Below are 18600 nucleotides of genomic sequence, written 5' to 3' on the forward strand. Positions count from 1 at the left end.
CACATTCTGGGCTATAAAACACGCTTTAACAAATTTAAAAGAATACAAATCATACGATGGGCTCAGATGACAATGGAAGTAAACTGGATATCAATAATAGAAAGATAGCTAGAAAATCCCAAAATTCTCGGAGGTTAAACAACACACTTCCAAATAACAAATGGGTCAAAGAGGGACTCTTAAGAGAAATTTTAAAATACTGTGAACTAGGCTGGGTGCGGTGGCTCATGCCTATAGGCCCAGCACTTTGGGAGGTGAAGGTCGGGGGATCACCTGAGGTCAGGAGTTCCAGACCAGCCTGGCCAACATGGTGAAACCCAGTGTCTACTAAAAATACAAAAATTGGCCAAGTGCAGTGGTGCATGATTGCAATCCCAGCTACTCTGGAGGCTGAGGCACGAGAATCACTTGAACCCCAGAGGTGGAGGTTGCAGTGAGGAGAGATCACACCACCGCACTCCAGCCTGGGCCACAGAGTGAGACTCTGTACCCCCGCCACAAAAAATACTGTGAATAAAATAAAAATAAAAATACAGTGAAGCAAAATTTGTGGAATGCAGCAAAAGCACTGCTTAGAGGAAAATTTATAGCCCTGAATGCATATATTAGAAAAGAAAAAATATCTAAAATCAATAATCTAACCTTCCACCTCATTAAACTATAAAAAGAAGGGCAAATTAACTCCAAAGTAAGCAGAAGAAAAGAAATAATAAAAATTAGAGCAGAAATCAATGAAATTAAAAACAGAAAATCAGAGAGAAAATCAGCAAAACCAAAAGCAAGTTCTTGGAAAATATCAGTAAAATTGATAAGCCTCTAGCCAACCTAATTAAAGAAAAAAAAGAAGATACAAATTGCTAATATCAGAAATGAAAGAGGAACATCACTACAGAGCCCACAGACATCAAAAGGATATTAAAGGAATACAATGAAGCATCTATGCCACAAATTTGGTAATCTATGTTTAATAGATCAATTTCCTGAAAGACACAGTCTGCCAAAACTCATATAAGAAGAAACAGGCTGGGCGCGGAGGCTCACGCCTGTAATCCCAGCACTTTGGGAGGCCGAAGTGGGTGGATCACGAGGTCAGGAGATTGAGGCCATCCTGGCTAACACGGTGAAACCCCGTCTCTACTAAAAAAAATAAAATAAAATTAGCTGGGCATGGTGGCGTGCGCCTGTAGTCCCAGCTACTCGGGAGGCTGAGGCAGGAGAATGGCGTGAACCCATGAGGTGGAGCTTGCAGTGAGCCGAGATCGCGCCACTGCGCTCCAGCCTCGGCAACAGAGCGAGACTCCATCTCAAAAAGAAAAAAAAAAAAAAAAAAGAAGAAGAAGAAGAAACAGATAATCTGAATAGGCCTCTATTAAAGACTTTAATAATTAATAATCCTCCAAAACAGGAAGAACAGGCCCCGATGAGTACACTGGTGAATTCTACCTGTGAACATTAAGGAATAAATTATACTAATTCTCCACAATCTCTTGCAAGAGATAGAAGCAGAGGGAATGCTTTCTAACTCATTCTATGGGGCCAGCATGACCCAATACCAAAACCCAACAAGACATTACAAGAAAAAAAAACTACAATTTGCTCCGGCGGAAGTGAGGAGCAGGCCTGGGCCCTAAGGGCCGGGCCTCGACCCCCCGCAGGTCCCCGCGGTCCCGGTCCCCCGCCCGGGACATCTGATGGACCGAGCCGCGCCCCCGCGGAGCACCACTTCGGAGGCCTGAGAGCGGCGACCGGGCAGGGCGTGGCCTACATCCCGGAGCCTCGCGCCTTCTCCTGCGCCGACTTCTGCAGGGCCTCCGGCTGCTCGAGCCGCCCTGCGCTGCTCCCGCGCCTGCACCCGAGGCTGGGGCAGCGGCGGCGCTGGGTGACGCCGGAGGGGGCGCCCGACTTGAACCAACTGCGGCGGACCCGGGAGCCGGGGTCCAGGAATACAGCCCGAACCCCAAGAATACAACCCGAACCCCAAGAGTACGTGCCCCTCAGAGACTGCAGCGGCTGCTGAGAGGAGCACATCCAGGGCGGCTACTGCCCCAAGGGGTCGCCACCTCTGGGACTGGCATCCGTTCAGGGGCCCTCGGCAAGGGACATGTCCGCCCGGCCGTGCGCCTCCCGGCCCAGGGCGCGCTGGACGTGGACGCCCCTCGCCTGGTCTGCGCTGGCCCTGCGGGCAGCTGGACCTGGTTCCGCGCCCACGCCTTCCGCTCCTCCAGCTGGTCCCGCAGCTGGTCCCGCAGCGCCGGCGGACAAGAGAAGTGGCTCCTCGTCCCCAGGTGCGCGAGGAGGCCCTGGGGACTCCCGCGGCTGCCTGCCCGACGGCCGGACCTCCCGGGCACTCCCGACGCGCCTGCACCCGCGACTCCAGCTCGCGGCCTGCCCTGGAGCTCACGCGCAAGGTGGGCGAGATGGTGCTGATGCCAGTGTGGGGCACCACCGGGTTCACAACCTGCTAAGGCCGAGGTACGTCCCGGCCACCCAGGCCTGGAGCTAGAGTGTGCGCCCGCCTTCGACCATGGGCCCTTCCGCAGGAAGAGGGCAGCGCCCCTCCAGACTGTCCCTCCACTAGGAGGCGTCGCCGGGGCCCCGGCCTTTGTTTCACCCTCGCGCGCTCCTTCTCCGGCATACTCGCTCTGGGTCCGCCGCTGCCGCTCATCATGAGGTCCTGCTCGGGCATCAGCTTGGAAGAGCTTTACCACTTCCCCAGGGTTCTCACTGAGAGGCAGCTCCTAGTCCTGGGGGAGGCGGCGGGGGAGGATGAGGCCTGGCCGGGCCCGAGCAGATGGCCTTCGTCGTCGGGGCACGGCGGAGGTAGGTGTTGGCCTCCATGCTCTCGCAGTGCGACTTCCAGAGAACCGGCAGCGACCGCTGGGAGGAAGGGAGGCCGCCTCCCGCTCCGGGGCCCCTCCGGAAAGAAAAACCGCCCTCCAACCCCCGTGGACTGCAGCCCCCACCTCTCCAGTGAGGCCAGGACATCTGAGCAACGGGTGTCTGGGTTGCCTGCTCTGGAGGCCCCTCTGTGCGGCCAGCTTCGTCCCTTTGTCCCAGGCGGTCACCTCCAGCTCTGCCCCGTGGGCTCAGGGAGGACTTGGGCGCGGTGCTGCGGACCCACGCCGGCCTGTGCTGCACTGGGCGTGCCCGCCAGGACCTTGAGGCAAGGGTGGACTGGCTGGTCCTCCGGGCGGTTGGCTGCAGAGCCAGCGGCCTGGGCCTTTGTTCCCCATCGTCCCCGACAGGGCTGGGCCCTGCTGCCGCTGAGCAGGGGCTGGCAAAGAGCCTGCTCCACTGCCACCTCCCCGCCCGCAGGGAAGCCTGGCACATCCTCTGCCTCCTGGCCTCTCCTCACTGAATCCTCTGCCTGGGCGTGGAGGGGCTATGCCTGCTGTTTGTTGTACTCACTGCATACAGTAGGTGCTGCATAAGTCCCTGCGGGAGGAGGAAACGCACGAGTCTGTCCTCCCCTGCCCAGCTTCCGCAGGGCTTTTATGGCTCATCAGAGAGGCCTTGTTTGCCGCGTGGCCAAGTCTTCCCAAGGATGCTGTTCTCAGGACTGCAGATTCAAGTCTCTGGTCCCATGGCATGCTGGGCAAGACTGAGGTGTGCACCCGGCTGCTCTCCACGCCCCATCCTGGGACCCCATCAAGGCATGGGCAGGCGAGCAGCACTGGGATGTGTGGTGGGGCCATGGGCTCTCAAGTGGCCCCATCCACAGCTCTGTGAGTCGTCCCTCCTGCAGGGGATATCCCAGACCTCTACCTCTACCTGGATTCACAAGATGTGGGGGCTGGGATTCTGCCAGCCCCACCCTCTCCACCCAAAGTCCACACATTTTTTTAGCTGGCCCTGGGTGGCAGTCCCCACCCCAGCAGAGGAGGATGCATTCAAATCTGAAGGAGTAGCACATGCCACATGCTGTGTGTCCCACCTGCCCAGTGATGTCCAGTGGGGCCGGCTGCTCCCAGCTGGGATGGAAGCCCCCAGGAAGACAGGGATTTCTGTCTGCTCTGTTCAGTGAATTATGCTAAGTGCCTGGAAAAGTGACTGTACACAGGAAAAAAAAACTAGACTAACATCTCTCATGAATATAGATGCAAAATGCTCAACAAAATATTAGCAACTCAAATCCAACAATGTATAGAAAGAAGTAAACACCACGACCAAGTGAGATTTATCCCAGATATGCAGCACTGTCCAATACTTGAAAATCAAGCAACCCATCACATCTACAGGCTAAAGAAGAAAAATCGCATGATCATGTCAATAGATGCAGAAAAAGCACGTGACAAAATCCAACATCCATTCAAGGTAAAAACTCCCAGCAAACTAGGAAAATAGAGGAACTTCCTCAACTTCATAAAGAACATCCACAAAAAAACCCCACAGCTAACAATACATGGAATAGTGAGGAACTAGATGCTTTCTCAGTAAGATCAGGGACAAGGCAAGGATGTCCTCTCTCACCATTTCTTTTTCAGCATCATACTGGAAGTCCTAGCTAATGCAATAAGATAAGAAAAGGCAATAAAAGGTATAAAGATTTTCTACATAGATGACCATATCATCAGCAAAGTTGGAGAAAATCCAAAAGAATCGACAACATGTTACTGAAACTAATTAGCAACTATACCAAAGTTGTAGGATACAGGGTTCATACACAAAAGCCAATCACCTTTTTTTTTTTTTTTTTTTTTTTTGAGATGGAGTCTCACTCCGTCACCCAGGCTGGAGTGCAGTGGTGTGATCTTGGCTCACTGCAACCTCGGCCTCCCGGGTTCATGCCATTCTCCTGCCTCAGCCTCCCAAGTAACTGGGACTACAGGTGCCCATCACCACGCCCGGCTAATTTTTTTTTTTTTGTATTTTTAATAGAGATGTTAGCCAGGATGGTCTCGATCTTCTGACCTCATGATCCTCCCGCCTTGGCCTTCCAAAGTGCTGGGATTACACGCGTGAGCCACTGCGCCCAACCAAGCCAATCACTTTTCTATATACCAACAATGAACAAGTGGAATTTGAAATTCAAAATACAATACCATTTACATTAACACCCCCAAATACAAAATACTTAAGTATAAATATTTTAAAATATATGTATAAGCTCTATGTGAGGAAAGCTACAAAACTGTTATGAAAGAAATCAAAGAACGAAATAGATGGAGAGAGATTCCGTGTTTAAGAGCAAGAAGACTCAATATTGTCAAGATCTCAGTTCTTCCCAGCTTGATCTACAGACCAAATGCTATCCTGATCGAAATTCCAGCAAGTTACTTTGTGGATATTAACAAACTGATTCTAAAGTTTATATGGAGAAGCAAAAGACCCAAAATAGCCAACACAATATTTAAGGAGGAGAACAAAGTTGGAGGACTGACATGACCCAACCTCAAAGCTTATGCTAAATCTACAGTAATCAAGACAGTGTGGTATTGGTAAAAGAACAGACAAATAGATCAATGGAACAGAATAGAGAGCCCAGAAGTATACCCATAGTCAACTGATGTTTTTACAAAGGAACAAAGGAAATATAATGGAGAAAAATTATTTTCAACGAATGATGCTAGAACAACTGGACATCCAAATGGAAAAAAAAATTTAGATATAGACCTTACACTCTTAGGAAAAATTAACCCAAGGCCAGGCACAGTGGCTCACGCCTATAATCTCAGCACTTTGGGAGGCTGAGGCGAGTGGATGACCTGAGGTCAGGAGTTCGAGACCAGCCTCGCCAACATGGTGAAACCCCGTCTCTACTAAAAATACAAAAATTAGCCAGGCATGGTGGTGGGGACCTATAATCCCAGCTACTCGGGAGGCTGAGGCAGGAGAATCGCTTGAACTCAGAGCAGGGCAGGGGGAGGGGCAGGTGGAGGTTGCAGTGAGCCAAGATCACATCACTTCACACCAGCCTGGGCGACAGAGCAAAACTCCATCTCAAAAAAAAAAAAAAAGAAATGAGCTACCAAGCCATGAAAAGACATGTAGGAACCTTAAATGCATATTACTAAGTGAAAGAATTTAATCTTTAAAGGCTAAATATTATATGATCCTAACTGTATGACATTCTGGAAAAGGCAAAACTATGGAGACAGTAAAAGGATCAGTGGTTGCCAGGGATTAGGAGATGGGGAAGGATGAACAAGGGGGCCCAGAAGATTTTTCAGGGCAACAACACTATTCTGTATGATACCATAATGGTAGATATGTGTCATTAGACATTTGTCTCGACCCATAGAATGTCTGACTCCAAGAGTGGGCCCTCAGAAACTACGGACATTGGGCAATAATGGCATGTCCTTGTAGTTTCATCAGTAATAACATATGCCCCACTCTACTGGGGATGTTACTGATATGGAAGGCTGTGCATGTTGGGGGGCAGGGCGTGTATAGGAACTGACTTTCCACTCAATTTTTGCTGTGAACCCAAAATAAAGCCTATTTAAAAAGAAAAAAAGAAAGAACTAGAGAATGGATAGAGGCAGCCTCTTAGCTATCTCTGCACAGAGTCAGCCTAGTGTTGGGGCATCCTGGACCCTCTGAACGTCACTGGTTTGCAGCCTGGATGGCCTTCCCTTTTGCCCAGTGGGGAGAGGCTGAGACTTCTGTAATTTCAGCACCTTGGTGTTGGGTGTGACCTAAGCACCTGCCTGATGCCCTGCCCTGGCCCACAGCCGGCCTGCTGCTGTCAGCTCAGCATGAGCCTCAGAGTTCATGAGGGCCTCAGAGGACCAGGGGGCTTCCCTGGAGGAAAACCCAGATGAGGAGACCAAAGGCAGCGTCAACATTTGTGATTCACAGAGACCAGGCATGGGGCTTCTCCCACATCCACGTTTTACTGCTGGGGACACTGATGAGGACTCGTGCTCACAGCCACACAGCACAATAGCAGAGCCAGGACTCAGAGCTCAGCCCGGGTCACCCAAGCCCACACTCGAAACCACTCGACAAGGCTGCACCAAGATCAGCAGGCAGGGCCTGTACTGAGTGCCAAGCCCTGAGGCCACGGAAAGAGAGGGGGTAAGAGGGTGCAATTTCATAGAAAGATGGAGGTATGCCTTTGTCCACTGAGCTGAAGTCTGAGACGATGTCTCGAGGGAGCAAAACGGTGGCACCCAGGGAGCTGCAACCATGGGAAACATGGGGTCTCCTTTGGCCAGAAACAGAGTAAGCCAACAATTCCTGAGAAAGCTTCACCAAAAAAAGAACCTCCCCTGATATTTGGGTCCAAGAAATAGCCACGACTCTGACCTAAAAGGTTCCTGGCTGGGAGCGGTGGCTCACGCCTATAATCCCAGCACTTCAGGAGGCCAAGGTAGACAGATCACTTGAGGCCAGGAGTTCGAGACCAGCCTGGCCAATATGTCGAAACCCTGTCTCTACTAAAACTACAAAAATTAGCTGGGTGTGATGGTGCACACCTGTAGTCCCAGCTGGCTGAGACGCTGAGGCATGAGAATCACTTGAACCCAGAACACAGAGGCTGCAGTAAGCGAAAATCCCACCACTGCACTCCAGCCTGGGTGACAGAGTGAGACTCTGCCTCAAAAAAAAAAAAAAAAAAAGGTTCCTGTAACTTGAGGGTCCTAGGGACTACTAGTTACTAGTAACTAATTAATCCCTTGATTGATGCCTCTCCGTAAAGGTTAGAGCTTTATTTTCTGATAGAAGCCTTGCAGTTACTTGAATTTGAAAATTTCCTGTTAAGATATATGCACAAAGTCTCCTCCTTCAAGATGGGAAGCCTACATGTGAGCCCAGGAGTTCAAGATTACAGTGAGCCATGATTGCACCACTGCACTCCAGTGTGGGCAACAGAGCAAAACCTTGTCTCTTAAAAAAAAATCGTAAAGGCTCATTAACACTTTTCCCTTTGAAAGTGAGCTAGATAGACTTTATGACTCACCAATAAACAGAGTGTGGCAGAGTTGCTGGTGCAGCTTCTGAGACCAGGTCATAAGAGGCCTGGCAGCTCCCTCCTTGCTCTCCATCAGATCCCTTGCTTGGGGGAAAGATAGCTGCCCTGTGCAGAGAGCCACACGGAGAGTCACCGAAGTCTCCTGTCAATGGCCAGCAAGGAACTGAGGCCTCCTGCCAACAGCCACGACTCACATCTCAAAAGCGTCTCCTCCAGCCCAGGCCAAGTCCTCTGATGCTGGTCTCACTGGGCTGAGATCTTGACTGCAACAGCCAGAACCACCCAGCTAAGCCACTCCCAAGTTCTTGACCCACAGAAACAAGTGAGATAATAAGTAAATAAATGTCATTGTTGAGCTGGGCATGGTAGCTCACACCTGTAATTCTAGTGCTTTGAGAGGCTAAGGCAGAAAGATCACTTGAGCTCAGGAGTTTGAGAACAGCTCAACCTTCGGAGACCCCATCTCCAACAACAATAACAACAACAAATTAGCTGGCTGTGGCAGTGCATGCCTGTGATCCCAGCTACCTAGGAGGCTGAGGTGGGAGGATCTCTTAAGCCCAAGGGTTCCAGGCTGCAGTGAGCTAGGATCTCACCACTGCACTCCAACCTGGGTGACAGAGTGAGACCATGTCTCTAAAAAATTTAAAATAAATAAATAATTAAAATTAAAAATGCTATTGTTTGAAGCTGCTAGTTTTGGGGGATGGTTTGTCATGGAGCAGTAATAACAAATTTCCTAACAGAGACTCATGCTCCATCAGAGCATAGGGGCTACGCACATATGTCTGTGGCAGATTCTCGCAGTCCTCCACGCTACCCACTGAGCTGTCACAGGGAGCGCTGTGGCAGGCTTGTATGTTTACCAGTAACCATTGGAGCCCTGACAATAATCACTAGCAGGTTGGAAGGAGTACAAGGGTTCCCAGGCATGGAGCCAGCTGAAGGGGCACTCGTGGATGCAGAGATACAGGGGTCAGGGGAGTGCATACTTTTTCAGGCCCTGGGGTGGGGGTGAGGGGATAGGGTGCAGGGGCCCAGATAGTCAAAAGGCAAGGAGGTGCTGGGAGGGGCACCGCTTGTGGCCCAGGCTCCAAGTCCCCCATGCATGCCTACAGTCCCATCAGACTTCCCTTACAAAATACAAATTTAAAGATAAAATTGTTATGAATTTCAAGACAGCAGCCACAGAGCTTACAACCCCAGGCACAGGGCCCTTCTGAGCAGGGAGTCCCCTGCAGCTACCCCAGCCCCATGCCCACAAAGCCAGGCCTAGATGCATAGAGAGGCGGAGAGGGGCAGTCATCCTACAAGGTTTCAAAAAATAGGAGAATCGAACATTTATGCATAGACTTCACATCTTCCACTCTCCTTTAGCCTTTTTTCTATAAGAGCTTCTTTGGGATTGTTCAGATGGCCTGCAACACATTAAAAATGTTTTCTGGGAAATTCTAACTAATGTCCTCTCTCTCAACTTCTGGCAAAAAAAAGAAAATCATTCCATTGACCTTAATTTGCTCTCCCCACGGCAAAAAATGTCCTGTAATTTCACACTGTTTCCACTGGGTGGCAAATGCTGTCCCTGAGAGGAAAAATGAATGGTAAACGGTTCCAAAGCGCCTCCAAGCATGAGCTCCGGGAGTCCAAGTTTAACTTCTCCGAATGAACCCCTGCCCCCTCACGGCCCCTGCCGTGGGTATTTGCCACATCTTCCCATCATCTGTGCTATTACCTGTGTTAAAACACACACACACACACACACACACACACACACACACACACACACACACACGTATACATTTAGAAGAAGAGAAGCCTTTATTTCCTGTAAAAGGTGCCAGCCTACAAGGTGGCCATCTGCAGGCTGGGAAGTGTGCCAATGGCCGAGCACTTTGAAAGAGGAGGGGTTGGGGCAGGAGCTTTATGCTGACCTGTCTGGCTAAACATACATATTCAACTGGCTACAGGAGGAGCTATGAATATTCATAAAGGCACTGTGCCTCCTATCTGTAATCCTAGCATTTTGGGAGGCTGAGGCAGGAGGATTGTTTGAGCCCAGGAGCTAGAGACCAGTCTGAGCAACATAGTGAGATTCCATCTCTACCAAAAATACAAAATTAGCTGGGGTAATGGTACGTGCCAGTGGTCCCAGCTACTTAGGAGGCTGAGGTGGGAGGATCACTTGAACCCAGGAGGTTGAGGCTGCAGTGAGCCAAGATTGAGTCACTGTACTCCAGCCTGGGTGAGAGAGCCTGTCACAAAAACAAAGAAAAAAATAGTCATGGCCGGGCGCAGTGGCTCACTCCTGTAATCCCAGCACTTTGGGAGGAAGAGGTGGGCAGATCACAAGGTCAGGAGTTCAAGACCAACCTGGCCAACATGGTGAAACCCCATCTACTAAAAATACAAAAATTAGCTGGGTGTGGTGGCACGCGCCTGTAGTCCCAGCTACTTGGGAGGCTGAAACAGAAGAATCGCTTGAACCCGGGAGGCAGAGGTTGCAGTGAGCCAAGATCACGTCACTGCACTCCAGCCTGGCAACAGAACAAGACTCCGTCTCAAAACAAAAAAAAAGAGTAGTCATTAAGGTGTTCCTAACACATTCATATTGAACAAACACTTAGGTGTTCCTAACAAATTCATATATGACCCATGTTTGCTCTGGGGTGGAGACTGAACATATAAACATATTACAGTTAGGCCCTATATGTCAAAAGGCTTTTCAGGACACAAAGGCACTCTGTGCGCAACCTCTGTAAACAGGCTGGGGTGGACCATGGTCAGTGGTCTTCTTATCTGGAGAAAGTTATTGAAATCAGTCTCTTGCAGTTATGGCTGGTGGAACAGGAGTTGGGGGTCAGTTAGTCACATCTGGTGGAACTGCAAATTGTTTCAGTATTGCTTATCTCAAGGCCAGTGTTTGTTTAGCTGCTAGAGAAAAAGAAAAGCCTTGTGGCAGTGAGAACAGGTTCATTCTTTAAGTGTGGGGTGACTGACTTAACCCTTGCCTGGCATGGCCTTAGGTTCTGTTTATAATTTAGCGTCTTATTTGCCACAAAGAGTCGGTCATGTCAGTCTTACTATCTCTATTTTGTCTATCTCTATTTTAACAGTAATGCTGGTCAGTTGTTGTGTCTGAAGCACAAAAAGGAGGAGGTATAACGAGGCTTCTGACCTCCTGTCCTGTCGTGGCTGGAAGCTCAGTTTTAAAGTTTTTCTGGGGTCCCCTTGGCCATAAAGGGGTCCATTCAGTTTGGCAGGGGCTTATAATTTTATTTTTAGTTTACACTTAATATTTTTCTTAGAATCAGTTCTCTTTTTAAATGTATATAAATGTATTTTAAGAAAGAAAGTTTGTATGCTCGAATTTAATTGAGAAACCAGTCTCACCTGTCATACACACAAACTAACATCACAATAAGTTCATAGCAAATAAAGCATCATCATTCATTTCTGACCAGATACAGCCACTGAGCTGAAGGGCCAGACAGCAAGGCTGAGAGGCAGGTCGAAGTCCCATGGTTAGGGCTTTCAGCTGGGGAGGGGTATCTTTGTGCCAAGCTAGACTGTGTTTAATCCTTTTAATCACAAGAGACAAAAATCCTCAGACACGAGAAGGTACGTCAAAGGGTGTGAGGGCCCCCTTTCTTTTCTTTCTTTCTTTCTTTTTTTTTTTTTTAAGACAGAGTCTTGCTCTGTTGCCCAGGCTGGAGTGCAATGGTACAATCTCGGCTCACTGCAACCTGCGCCTCCCAGGTTCAAGCGATTCTCCTGCCTCAGTCTCCCGAGTAGCTGGGATTACAGGCGCGTGACACCACGCCCAGCTAAATTTTGTATTTTTAGTAGAGAGACAGTTTCATCATGTTGGCCAGGCTGGTCTTGAACTCCTGGCCTCAAGTGATCCGCCCACCTCGGCCTCCCAAAGTGCTGGGATTACAGGCGTGAGCCATCACGCCTGGCTGTCAGGCCCCCCTTTCTTCCCTGACAGTGTGCCAGTGGCCCCTGCCCATGATGACTTCCACAGTGCCTGCTGTGGCCAGACCCCCAGCAAAGCACCTGTCAGGCTTATCTCACTCTTTCCTCACAGCAGTCTGGGAGGTGGGGTCTTTGATTTTCCCCATTCTGCAGATGAGGAAACTGAGGCAGAGATAGGCTAAGACTATTGCCCAAGGTCACAGAGCAAGTAAGTAGCAAAACCAGGTTTCAGAGCAAGGCAGGCTGCTCCACAGGCTGGCTCAGAACAGCCGGGGTGACGGAGACCTGCATCTGCAAAGATCCAGCAAGCAGAGGCTCTGTTCCAAGGGGGTCCAACAGTGGCAGACAGGGTTACCCATTTCCTGTTGGTTGCACACAGGCTAAAAATGCTACCTAATAATCACTGCCTCTTAATCCCCTCTGCTTCCCATGAGAAGGAAAAATTGTCTTGGGGGATATTGAAAGATCCCAGCCTCCAAAGTAAGTTTACCTAAGCAGTTTGCCTCATAATACGATTACCAAACAGAGGCTGTTTCCTTCAGCTCAGGGGACAAGAAAGGAGTGGCTGTCTCCCTCATGTTTCTCGTTATTTGTGTCATAGGCATGTATCACCTGAAATTGCCTGAGAGGCTCAACCAACTTTTAGTCACAAGATCTGCGAACACTTCCCTAGTGGGTGCTGAGGTTCTCCAAGGAGCTGCTGGGCCCATTTGCAAACAGATAAGCAAACGGCTGGGTGAGTGCGTCGAGGAGGGCTTCCCGTAAGAAGTTATGCCCCCGGTGAATCTTAAAGGATGCAGCATGCCAGGCAAAATTCCACAGGGCTCCAGAAAGAGGGCAGTGCAGAGGCAAAAGCACAGACAGAAGTTGGCATGTGGGTGGGGAGTGAGGGACATGGCTAGCCTACCACGAAGCTTCAGATCAGGAAGAGATGAGAGGTGAGGCTGGACAGGGTGGCAGAGGGTGTCCTGAAGACAGCAGGGAGCCATGAAAGACATGGAGCAGGAGTGTAGTGAGATTAAACCTGTATAGTAGAGGCAGAGGCCAGCATCAAGGAGACAGCAGTCCTGGCAAGACACAGATAAGGCCAGCACTAGAGAAGAGACAGCCAGCAAGGCTGACAAGTATGTATTAGATAATGCCCATGGGCCAGGCAGAGGTGCTGGGGAGGGAAGAGTTAATGGGACAGAGTCTCTGCCCTCTTGAGTTTCACATCAATGGGAGGAGACATTTAATAAACACATAAAAATGTAAAAATAAGATCATTTCAGATCCTGATCAATGCTAAGGAAGATATGAAATGGAATATTATGGTACAGAAGGATGGAGCTGTGCCTTGGCAAGGGAGGCCTTTGAGGAGGGGTCATCTGAATTGAGATGAGAATGATGATCAGGAGGAAGCCATGTGGGGCTCTGGGGGAAGGGCACTCCAGGCAGAGGGAACAGCAAGTGCAAAGGCCCTGAGGCAGGAAAGTGCTGGAGTGTTTGAGCAACAGGAAGAAAATTGGTGTGGCTGGACATTGATGAGCAAAGTAGACAGTGGGTGATGGGGTCAAGAAATAGGCAGGGGCCAAGCTACAGGGGGGCCTGTAGCTTCCTGACCACAGGGGCACGGGTTTTCTTTTATTTGCGATGGGAAGCCAAGAAGGCGAACGAAGACCAGAGCAGTAGCAGCACAGGGAGAAGTGGTTAAGTTCTGAATAGATCCTGGTGACTGAAATGACAGGAATTACTGATGGGTTGGACAGCAAGTAGAAGTGACTCTTCAGAGGAGTTTTATGGAAGAGAGAAGCAGAAAAATCAGATGGTAATTGGAGAAAGAGGTGGAATTAAGGAAGGATTTTTCAAAAGGGCAGGATTATAGGTTGCTTCTTTTTTTTTTTTTTTTTTTTGAGACGGAGTTTTGCTCTTGTTGCTCAGCCTGGAGTGCAATGGCGCGATCTCAGCTCACCACAGCCTCCGCTTCCTGGGTTCAAGTGATTCTCTTGCCTCAGCCTCCCAAGTAGCTGGGATTACAGGCATACACCACCACGCCCAGCTAATTTTGTATTTTTAGTAGAGATGGTGTTTCTCCATGTTGGTCAGGCTGGTCTCGAAACCCACTTTAGGCAGACCTAAAGTGATCTGCCTGCCTCAGCCTCCCAAAGTGCTGGGATTGCAGGCGTGAGCCACCGCGCCTGGTCTGGCTGCTCCTAACCTGATGGAATGACCCAGTGAAGGAGAAATTGATCATGCAGAGGAAGGGGCACCTGATGGGGCAATGTCCTGGAAGGATGGAGAGGGGACAACTCACAGCACAAGAGTGGGGCTTGGCCTTCGCCTTGGTTCCTATTGCTGCTGTCACAAGAGGCTTAATGCAGCACACATTTATTTTCTCATTCTTCATCACACAGCTCCTGTGGGTTCTCTTATTCCAGCCCTCCTGAGGTAGATCAGCAGGACCTGTTTTCTGAGCACCTGTCAGGACCCCCGGTCCCCAGCCTGCTGATGGCAGCAGGATCTGGTTGAAACAAGGTGTAGTGAAGAAGCTGGCAGACACCAGAAACCAGCAGATGGGAACGAAAGCAACCGCTAGTTGCCCTCACTGCTCACTAACATAGACACTCCCCCTGGCACCATGGTAGTTTACAAATGCCATGGCAGCACGCCATGGCAACAACCTGAAAGTTACAGGGTTCTGGAAACTCACCACCCCTTTTCTAGAAAGTTTGAAATAACCTGCCCCTGAATTTGCATGTAATGAATAGTGGCTGTAAGTGCAGTTGCCAAAAGCCCACACACTACTGCTCTGGGCACACTGCCTGTGGGGTAGCCCTGCTCCCAGAGAGCAGCACCTCTGCTATGCACTGCTGCTTCAATAAAGCGGCTTTCTTCACCACTGGCTCTTTGACTTCTTTCCTGGCCAAAGCCAAGAGCCCTCAGGGGCAAAGCCCTGATTTGGGGGCTCACCTGCCCTGCATCACTTGTAGGTGGAAATCAAGCTGCTGGCAGGGCTGCATTCCTCTCTGGAGGCTCTGGGAGAATCCACTTGCAGGCTCACCCAGGCTGTTTACAGATCCACTTCCTGCATTATCCTGTGCCTCTTGGGCAGATGGGTATGTATTTACCCATATGGGTAAATACACATGGGGAAAAAGCCTTGCCTGATGTTGGGATGGAGGGAAATTTTTATTTTCTTCTTCCAGTTCATCTGAACATTCTAATTTCCCACAACAAAAATCATTTATTTGTTATTTATGTAGTTTTTTAAATTCACAAAACCCATCTATGTTGATCTAGTTTTTTGTTTTAAGTTGTACATGCTGAAAATAAGGAAATCTCAGAGGCTCAAGAGGAAGGAGGGCACAGGCCCCACCAGATCTGGTCACAACACCTGGCCTGGCAGCTCCAGCACCCCCACTCACTCCAGAACCCCTTACCCACCTGCGTGGGGCTCACTGGTGAATGTGTGCAGGGCAGAGGAGGTGGAACATGCCAAGGCTCCATGGGGAGGGAGGGAAGGGCCAGACAGGCTGAGGCTCCTCTCCATGGTCCAGGCTCCGGTCAGAGTCCCCACTGAGCACATACCAGGGGACCCCCAGCAGCAACCAGGCCCCCGAGCAGGTGTGACATCAGTGGGGGAACAGCACCTTCCCCACCCTTCTCTGAGCCCAGCATCAGTGGGTGGAGGAAGCAGAGCTGGGGCCTGGCAGCCTCTCAGGGCCTCCTAGGAGGGTGAACACCCAAATCCTGCCCTACCCAAATCCAGAACCAGGAGGCGGGGAGAGAACAGGCGGCCTCCCAAGGAAGGACTCACCCTGCTTGGCCATGCAGGAGGAGGAAGGCTGGCCTGAGAAGGATGTGAGACCAAAATAAGAACAAGCACACCCCCACCCCCGTAGGGCCGAGGAATATTCCCGAGGGTCCTGAATGTCAACGAAGTGCGTTTAAAGCCTCCGTCAGCCTTCTGTCTTTGGCTTTTCCTGCCAGGCTTCTGTAACTTCTGTGTTTTTACCCTGTTTTATTTATTTTTTAAGACGGAGTCTCGCTCTGTCACCCAGGCTGGAGTGCAATGGCACGGTCTCGGCTCACTGCCACCTCTGCCTCCTGGGTTCAAGCAATTCTCCATCCCAAAATATATTTATCTTTTAAAGGAAGCTTTATGTCACTAACATAAATGGAAAATGGTGTCCCTCCCCTAAGTAGAATGTGCTCTAGAAGAAAATGTACTGCAAATGTTAAAACCATAGGCCAAAATTCTAGCTAGAGATTCACACTTGGTAGAGGCTCTGCTTCCCAGGCCTACAGCTGTTTGTTAGAAAGAGGCATGGAGAAGCACTAGGCAGGAGCTAAAAACACCATGGCACCAAGAAGAGACTCCGTCCTTGAGTATACAGGAGGAGGGAGGAGAGTTAAAAATGAAGTCACTCTCCCCACCATGGTGTTCTCAGCCAGTGGGAGCTGCCCAGCCCACACCTCTGTGAGGCAGGCAGGACCGGTCACTGCTCCCACTTTACAGATGAGGAAAACTGAGATTCGGAGGAACAACCAGCAGAGCCACGTTTCTCAGGGGTCTCCTAGTTCCCACCTTCTGGGAGCAGGTGAGGGGCCACCCTCAGTCCTCCACAGACCTGATTCCAAAGCCCATCAAGGCACTGGCGGCACAGTGGGACCCCCTTCTATAAACCGGGGTTGAGATGTGGTTCTGTGCCCAAGGCGCGGGCCCCTGAGGGCCTCCTGCCTCTGGAAATAGGCCCCAAGGCTGCACTGGGGGGATAAGCCAGGCTATTTTCATCACTTCCTTCCGCCCGCTCCCGCAGCGGCCACCTCAGCTGTATCCCATAGAGTTGCCACCCAGGCCTCAGCCAGGACCTTTCAGGCCAGACAGGAGCACCTGACCAAAGGCTTCACAGGTAAGTGGCCCTCCGTATTACCCAGCATGGCCTCCCACAGGGAGAGAGGAGGTCAGTTCCTGTCCCTTTAACAAGACAGGGTTGGGTGGGACATTCCCTCTGAGACACCATCTCCTTGGCTGAGTCAAGATGAGTGAGTTGATTTGACACTTATTCACTGGAAACCTGCTGTGGGTAGGGGGAGCTCTGCTGGTGGAGGGGAAACGCCTGTGGGGAAGAACCAAACAGAGGGCCACGGTTGCCGAGACCCGAGTGTGAGTCTGGCCTCTGACACCACACCGGTGGCCCTGGGCACATTGCTTTCCCTCTCTGGGCCTCAGTTTCCCCAAGTCAGTGTTAGCCCAGATGAGTGGTTTTCCAGATGGGGTCCCACTGAGTTCCCCTCCCTGCTCCAGCCAGTGTCCCTGTCCTGCTGTCTTCTGCATCTGGGAATCAGGTAACAGCTCACTTAGCTGGTGGGGGGTGCTGGGCGCAGCCTGCAGGGCCCTCCAAGGCTCTTTCCTAGTCTCTGGGGACTGTGGTCCTGGGCTGGGACTCATTTAGCAGCCATCTGCTCCTCTCATCCCCAAGCAGGGGATGGGGTCTCTGCTAAGGGCCAGGAAGTCCCTTCCCCTTCCCAAAAACAAACTTACCCAATCCACAGCCGCCCTCACCGCCCGGCCTTCTACGGTGTCCAGAGACAGTTAGCCAGGCCTGGGCTGGGCACACTCCACCTTCCCTAGTCACCAGCTGGTTTCCCAGAGGAGAAGGCTGAGACCCGAGAAGGGAGGTGAGTGCACCCCGTCCCATGTCAGGCTCCGCTACATCCCCAGTGCTTGCCGTCCCTGAGGATCGGTCCAGGCTGCCAGGCCCTCCCTCACAGCCCCTCTCTCTGCAGCCAGCCTGTCCCATGCCTGCCTGGGGAGCCCTGTTCCTGCTCTGGGCCACAGCAGAGGCCACCAAGGACTGCCCCAGCCCATGTACCTGCCGCGCCCTGGAAACCATGGGGCTGTGGGTGGACTGCAGGGGCCACGGACTCACGGCCCTGCCTGCCCTGCCGGCCCGCACCCGCCACCTTCTGCTGGCCAACAACAGCCTTCAGTCCGTGCCCCCGGGAGCCTTTGACCACCTGCCCCAGCTGCAGACCCTCGATGTGACGCAGAACCCCTGGCACTGTGACTGCAGCCTCACCTATCTGCGCCTCTGGCTGGAGGACCGCACGCCCGAGGCCCTGCTGCAGGTCCGCTGTGCCAGCCCCAGCCTCGCTGCCCATGGCCCGCTGGGCCGGCTGACAGGCTACCAGCTGGGCAGCTGTGGCTGGCAGCTGCAGGCGTCCTGGGTGCGCCCGGGGGTCTTGTGGGACGTGGCGCTGGTCGCCGTGGCCGCGCTGGGCCTGGCTCTTCTGGCTGGCCTGCTGTGTGCCACCACAGAGGCCCTGGATTGAGCCAGGCCCCCAGAACCCCTGGCTCCAGGCCAGGGGGCCAGTCCCTGAGGCAGGTCCCCAGACTCCACCAAGCCTGGTCAGCCCAAACCACCAGAAGCCCAGAATAAACTGGCAGCTCAGCTGTTTTATATAAGCTCAGAGATTTTTTTTTTTTCCCCTCTCAGCATTTGAGTCTGACTCCTTCTGAAAACCTGGCTCGATTTTGTTATAACCAGACATCAGTTGGGGCTTCCCTGTTTCTCAAGTTGTTAGTAAAATGGGCTGCCCACCTCCCCCACCCTTCACCCTTAACTGCACAGTCTCTGGACATCTCAAGCCAGGACCTGGGACTCTGGGTCTCATGGCCTCAGCCGTCTGCTTCTGGTGTGGGCCACCCTGGACAGGCCAGG

At 51.4% G+C, this 18600-nt stretch overlaps 1 protein-coding gene and 1 pseudogene across 3 annotated transcripts, besides 1 other annotated feature; both read left to right on the forward strand.

The window, feature by feature from the left end:
- On the forward strand, positions 1746–2938 carry JMJD4P1 (JMJD4 pseudogene 1; annotated as a pseudogene).
- Positions 9713–9762: an enhancer, noted in NCBI's record as "active region_20502". NCBI's record gives its function as "activates an Ori minimal core promoter by ATAC-STARR-seq in GM12878 lymphoblastoid cells {active_cell/tissue: GM12878}" and the evidence as "EXISTENCE:reporter gene assay evidence [ECO:0000049][PMID:35858748]".
- On the forward strand, positions 10783–18344 carry GP9 (glycoprotein IX platelet). 3 transcript variants are annotated; one of them, XM_005247374.4, is made up of 4 exons: positions 10783–11539; positions 12498–12632; positions 16696–16788; positions 17432–17551. In XM_005247374.4, exons 1-4 carry the CDS (start codon positions 11440–11442, stop codon positions 17473–17475), a joined length of 372 nt encoding a protein of 123 aa, XP_005247431.2. In that variant the 5' UTR covers positions 10783–11439; the 3' UTR covers positions 17476–17551. The 3 variants fall into 3 exon arrangements, with proteins under 3 accessions (XP_005247431.2, NP_000165.1, XP_047303953.1); NM_000174.5 differs by lacking the exons at positions 10783–11539; positions 12498–12632 and adding an exon at positions 17666–18344 and having other exon boundaries at positions 16717–16788; positions 17432–17557; XM_047447997.1 differs by lacking the exons at positions 10783–11539; positions 12498–12632; positions 17432–17551 and adding an exon at positions 17666–18344 and having other exon boundaries at positions 16717–16788.

Source organism: Homo sapiens, chromosome 3 (assembly GCF_000001405.40).
Source record: "Homo sapiens chromosome 3, GRCh38.p14 Primary Assembly".
Classification (NCBI taxonomy): domain Eukaryota; kingdom Metazoa; phylum Chordata; class Mammalia; order Primates; family Hominidae; genus Homo; species Homo sapiens.